This window comes from Homo sapiens, chromosome 19 (assembly GCF_000001405.40).
Source record: "Homo sapiens chromosome 19, GRCh38.p14 Primary Assembly".
Classification (NCBI taxonomy): domain Eukaryota; kingdom Metazoa; phylum Chordata; class Mammalia; order Primates; family Hominidae; genus Homo; species Homo sapiens.
Window position 1 is genome coordinate 19,139,465 of NC_000019.10, and position 6,038 is coordinate 19,145,502.

Sequence of the window (6,038 nt, forward strand, 5' to 3'; positions counted from 1 at the left end):
TTTCTTGAGACGGAGTTTCGCTCTTGTTGCCCAGGCTGGAGTGAAATGGTGTGATCTTGGCTCACCGCAACTTCCGCCTCTTGGGTTCAAGTGAGTCTCCTGCCTCAGCCTCCCGAGTAGCTGGGATTACAGGCATGCACCACCACGACTGGCTAATTTTGCATTTTTAGTAGAGATGAGGTTTCTCCATGTTGATCAGGTTGGTCTTGAACTCCCGACTTGAGGTGATCCGCCCACGTCGGCCTCCCAGAGTGCTGAGATTACAGGCGTGAGCCACCGGGCCTGGTTTATATTTTATTTTTTTAACTTTCGGCTGGCAAGTGCTGAATCCTAAGCGCACTATCGCACGCCACCTCGTGGTGGAGGGCAAAAGCGCAGTCTCCCTGGGATGGAGAAGTCAAACCAGTCTCACTTGTGGCCCTGGGGGCTCCCAGCCTTAGAAAGCGGCCCATAGTTTTATGGACCTCACACTGGGTGCTTAGCCTGTGGGCACTAACATCAGGGACTGGCCTGACTTCTTGTCCACCGTGAGGGTGAGATCCAAAGGCTGGGAAGGCTCTTTCTCTCTGGCCATGCCTCAGTTTCCCCCAGGGTACCCGCTACCTTGACCCTTTTCCTCTTGCTCAGTCCCTGGCCCTGGTCTGGATGTGCGGGGTTGGGGTGCCAGTGAGTAGGTAGGTCTTCAGCCCATGTGGAAGGAAGGCCAGGATCATTGTCGGGGAGGTCCTCAGAACAGAAGGGTGGGTAACTGGCTGAAGAGTTTGCATCATCTGTGCATGTAGCAGTGGCGCTGCTGGAGGTGGCAGGAGCTGCATGCTCAGCTGGACCTCCACAGCCATTGATCACTGCCATGAGGACCGTGGCTCACCCCTCCTGAGTGGGGAAGGGACAGAAGGGACCAGGTGGGAAGTGTTGAAGACTTGAGTCCAGCCAGGCATGGTGGCTTGGCGTATGCCTGTAGTCCCAGCTACTTGGGAGGCTTAGGCTGGAGGATCGCTTGAACCCAGAATTTTGAGACCAGCCTGGGCAGCACAGCAAAACACCCATCTCTAAAAAAAAATTAAATTAAAAAAAAAGTTAAATTAGCCCAACGTGGTGGCTCAAGCCTGTAAGTCCCAGCTACTCAGGAGCCTGAGGTGGGAAGATTGCTTGAGCCCAGGAATTTGAGGCTGCAGTGAGTCGTGATCATGCCACAGCACTCCAGCCCTGGCAACATGACGAGGAAAAAAAAAGAGGCTGGGTGCAGTGGCTCATGCCTGTCATCCGAGAACTTTGGGAGGCCAAGGTGGGAAGATCACTTAAACCCAGGAGTTCCAGACCAACCTGGGCAACATGGGGAAACCCAGACTATACAAAAAATACAAAAATTAGCTGGGCAGGCTGGGCACAGTGGCTCACGCCTGTAATCCCAGCACTTTGGGAGGCTAAGGGGGGCGGATCACAAGGTCAAGAGATCAAGACCATCCTGACCAATATGGTGAAACCCTATTGGGTTTCTACTAAAAATACAAAAATTAGCTAGGCGTTGTGGCTCACGCCTGTAGTCCCAGTAGTAGTCCCAGCTACTGGGGAGTCTGAGGCAGGAGAATCACTTGAACCCAGGAGGCAGAGGTTGCAGTAAGCTGAGATCTTGCCACTGCACTCCAGCCTAGCTGGGCAAGGTGGTGTGCACCTGTAGTCTCAGTTACTTGGGAGGCTGAGGCAGGATTGCTTGCACCCATGAGATCAAGGCTGCAGAGAGCTATGATTGCACCACCGCAGTACAGCCTGGGCAATAGGGCAAGACACTGCCTCAAAAATAAAAAAATAGGCCAGGCGCAGTGGCTCATGCCTGTAATCCCAACATTTTGGGAGGCTGAGGTGGGAGGATCACTTGAGGTCAGGAGTTTGAAACCAGCCTGGCCAACATGGTGAAACCCCATCTCTACTGAAAATACAAAAATTAGCCGGGTGTGGTGGCAGTCGCCTGTAATCCGAGCTATTTGGGAAGGACGAGAATCGTTTGAACCCGGGAGGCAGAAGCTGCAGTGAGCCGAGATCCCGCCACTGCACTCCAGCCTGGGCAACAGAGTGAGACTTTGTCTCAGAACAAAAAAACAAAAAAAAAAACCCAATAATAATAAAAACAAAATTAGGCCAGGAGCGGTGGCTCACACCTGTAATCCCAGCACTTTGGGAGACCGAGGTGGGTGGATTACCTGAGGTCAGGAGTTTGAGACCAGCCTTGCCAACATAGTGAAACCCCGTCTCCACTAAAGATACAAAAAATTAGCTGAGCATGGTGGCACATGCCTGTAGTCCCAGCTACTCAGGAGGCTGAGGCAGGAGAATCGCTTGAACCTGGGAGGCAGAGGCTGCAGTGAGCCGAGATCGTGCCATTGCACTCCAGCCTGCATGACAGAGCGAGACTCTCTCTCAAAACAAAAAACAAAAACAAAACAAAATAATAAAAATAAGTAAGTAGAAAAGAAAAAGAAAAAAGACCTGAGTCTGGGTTGGGTGAGCGAAATCTCTAGCCGCACTTGGACACTCTGCAGAGGCTTCAAGTTCACCCCATCCAAGTCTCATTCCCTACAAGCTTCCACAGCACAGAGGATGAAATGGGAGCTTCCAGTCACCCACGGCACGCTCTTCCCTTCACCTCCACCTCCGAGCCGTTCTGGAGTCCTGGTGGGTTTGCCTCCACGCACACACAGAGAGTGATCATTCCAGGGGGCACTGCCTCCCCTCAGCTCCCAATGCCCCCTGCCACGGGAGCCTGGGGAGGGGCTTTTACACACTTTGATCATGCCATATCCCTATCCTGGAAACTGGGGCCCCAAAGCCCCCACCTCACTGGGGATGAGGGTGGCGAAGATGACGTAGGACAAACCTTAGCTGGGGTCTGGGGTGCAGATGGCATCCTATACTCCGCCGTATAAACAAGTGCCCCCTCCGGGTTCTGTCACTTATATACTTTGTCCAGTCTCCCTATCCCTTAAAAGGCGTCCCGCCCATCATCTTGTCTAGGACTGTGTGCGCTAAGGGTGAAATGCAAGGTGCTCAGTTTTACTGAAGAAATCTCTCCCTGGGGCGCTGAGTGACAGAAAGGATTTTGAAATTGTCAGTCAACGTACCCCGCCCATTCTGGCTGAGCTGTGCCAACCAGCTCAGCTTTGGATCTTGGCAGAGTGATTGGAAAGCAGGTGAGTTTGTTTGTTTGTTTGGTTTTTGAGATAGAGTCTTGCTCTGTTGCCCAGGCTGGAGTGCAGTGGCGCGATTTCGGCTCACTGCAACCTCCACTTCCCGGGTTCAAGTGATTCTCCTGCCTCAGCCTCCTGAGTATCTGGGACTACAGGCACACACTACCATGCCCGGCTAATTTTCGTATTTTTAATAGAGACGAGGTTTCACCACATTGGTCAGGCTGGTCTCGAACTCCTGACCTCAAGTGATCCACCTGCCTCAGCCTCCCAAAGTGCTGGGATTACAGGTGTGAGCCACCATGCCCGGCCTGTTTTTGTTTTTGTTTTTTTACTCTTTGAGACGGGGTCTTTTGCTCTGTTGCCCAGGCTGGAGTGCAGTGGCTCAATCATGGCTCACTGCAGCCTTGACTTCCCGGGCTCAGGTGATTCTCCCACCTCAGCCTCCTGAGAAGCTGGGACTAGAGGTGTGCACTGCCACGCCTGGCTAATTTTTTTTTTTTTTTAAGAGATGGGATTCACCATGTTGCCCAAGCTAGTCTTGAACTCCTGGGCTTAGGCCATCCTCCCACCTCAGCCTCTCAAAGTATTTGGATTACAGGGGTGAGCCACTGTCCCCGGCCAAGGCGGATCTTGTAAGTCTTGATCTCAACACTCATGTTTTCCGTCTTCCTGTCCAAATCTGTGAACTCCAACTCACAAAGGTGTTTCTCAGCTTGGGACAGTGTAGAAGGCGTCATGGAGGAAGAGAGGCAGAGCTGGGCCTTGGAGGGTGGGAAGGAGTTTAAAAAGGAGACAAGTTGGGGGTTGAGGGAGGCGCTCCAGGAAAGACCAGTAGGGTCACATGTTGGTACTGCAAATATTTCTAAGGTACTGGAGAGGCTGGGACAGGGATAGGAGACCAGGCCAGACTAGGGTAGGGCAGCTGAGGAGCCCAACTTCCTTCTAAGGATGAGGAAAAGCTTCAAAGAGATGAGCAGAACATGGCAGAGGCAGATCTTTTAAATTTTATTACTGTTATTTTTAGAGACAATGTCTTGTTCTGTCACTCAGGCTGGATTGTAGTGGGCTGGTAATAGCCCACTGCAGCCTCCAACTCCTGGGCTCAAGGCATCCTTCCTCCTCAGCCTCCCAAAGGACTGGGATTACAGGCAAGAAGTAATTTTTTTTTTTTTTTTTTTTTTGAGACGGAGTCTTGCTCTGTTGTGCAGGCTGGAATGCAGTGGCACGATCTGGATCTCGGCTAACTGCAACCACCACCTCTTGAGTTCAAGTGATTCTCGTGCCTCGGCCTCCCAAGTAGCTGGGATTACAGGCATGGGCCATGAGGCCCAGCTAATTTTTGTATTTTTAGTAGAGATGGTCTCAAATTTCTGGCCTCAAGTGATCTGCCCGCCTTGGCCCCCCAAAGTGCTAGGATTACAGGTGTGAGCCACCGTGCCCGGCTAGAAGTCAGTTTTTTATGTTGTCGTTGTTTTTGATGTTATTTTTGAGATAGGGTCTCGCTCTGTTGCCCACGGTGGAGTGCAATGGCTCAATCACAGCTTGCTGCAGCCTCGACTTCCTATGCTCAGGCAATTCTCCCACCTCAGCCTCCTGAATAGCTGGGACTACAGGAATGTGCCAGCCATGCCCAGCTAATTTCTTTTTAAATTTTTTGTAGAGATCAGGGTGTCAGTATGTTGCCCAGGCTGGTCTCAAACTGCTGGGCCCAAGCCATCCATCCACTTTGGCTTCCCAAAGTGCTAGGATTACAGGCTTTGGCCACCGCACCCGGCAAGAAGTCAGATGTTAAGTATTATGAAGATCTCACTGAATGCCATGTATGGTGGCTTGCACCTGTAGTCCAGCTACTCTGGAGGCCGAGGTGAGAGGATTGCTTGAGCCCAGGAGTTTGAGAGCAGCCTGGGCAACATAGTGAGGCCCCAACTAAAAAAAAAAAAAAAATCCCACTGAGACCACCTGGGGTGCGTGAGGCCAGATAGACCCTGCTGCACCTCAACTATTTTCTGGGAGCACCCCTGACCTCAGGACACCCAAGTCTGTCTTCACACACAGGACAAGCCAGAGTGGGGGCAGTTTGCAACCCCAGGAGTGGGTATATAAACACCCTGCTCTCTTGTCCCCTGGGTAGAATCAATTGCTGGGTCAAGGGCTCAAGAGATACACCCATTCAAAAGATGAGCAGTCGGCGAGGCTGGGTGGCTCATACCTGTAATCCCAGAACTTTGAGAGGCCCAGGAGGGCGGACCACCTGAGGTCAGGAATTCGAGACCAGCCTGACCAACATGGGGAAACCCGTCTCTACTAAAAATACAAAAATTAGCATGGTGGCAGGTGCTTGTAGTCCCAGGCACTCAGGAGGCTGAGGCGGGAGAATCCCTTGAACCCGGGAGGCGGAGGTTGCAGTGAGCCGAGATCGCACCACTGCAATCCAGCCTGGGTGACACAGGGAGTCTCTGTCTCAAATAAAATAAAATTAAAATAATAAAATAAAAAATAAGAAGATGAACAGTTCAGGGGCGCTTCCAGCGCCCTGGGAGCCCGACATTCAGGATTCCCAGCTGCTGCTTTTGGGAGCCCTACGACCCAGCCCTAGGGCTTGCCCCTGAGCCCATGACCCACAGCGCCGGGAGCAGCCCTGGCCATTGGCCCTGGAGTGGAAAGAGCCGGGGCCCTCACCCCTGGAGTGGGACCATTCTAGGTGCACGCTCACTCTATGCTGTCCCCAGAACCCCCCGCGGGCTAAGCACCCTCTGCTTGTGCGCGTCCCCTGCAGGGCTCCTCCCGCCTTGCCTCCCCAACCCTCCACCTGGCAGCCCTCCCGGACACCCCACGGGCTCTTGAGTCCTCGTC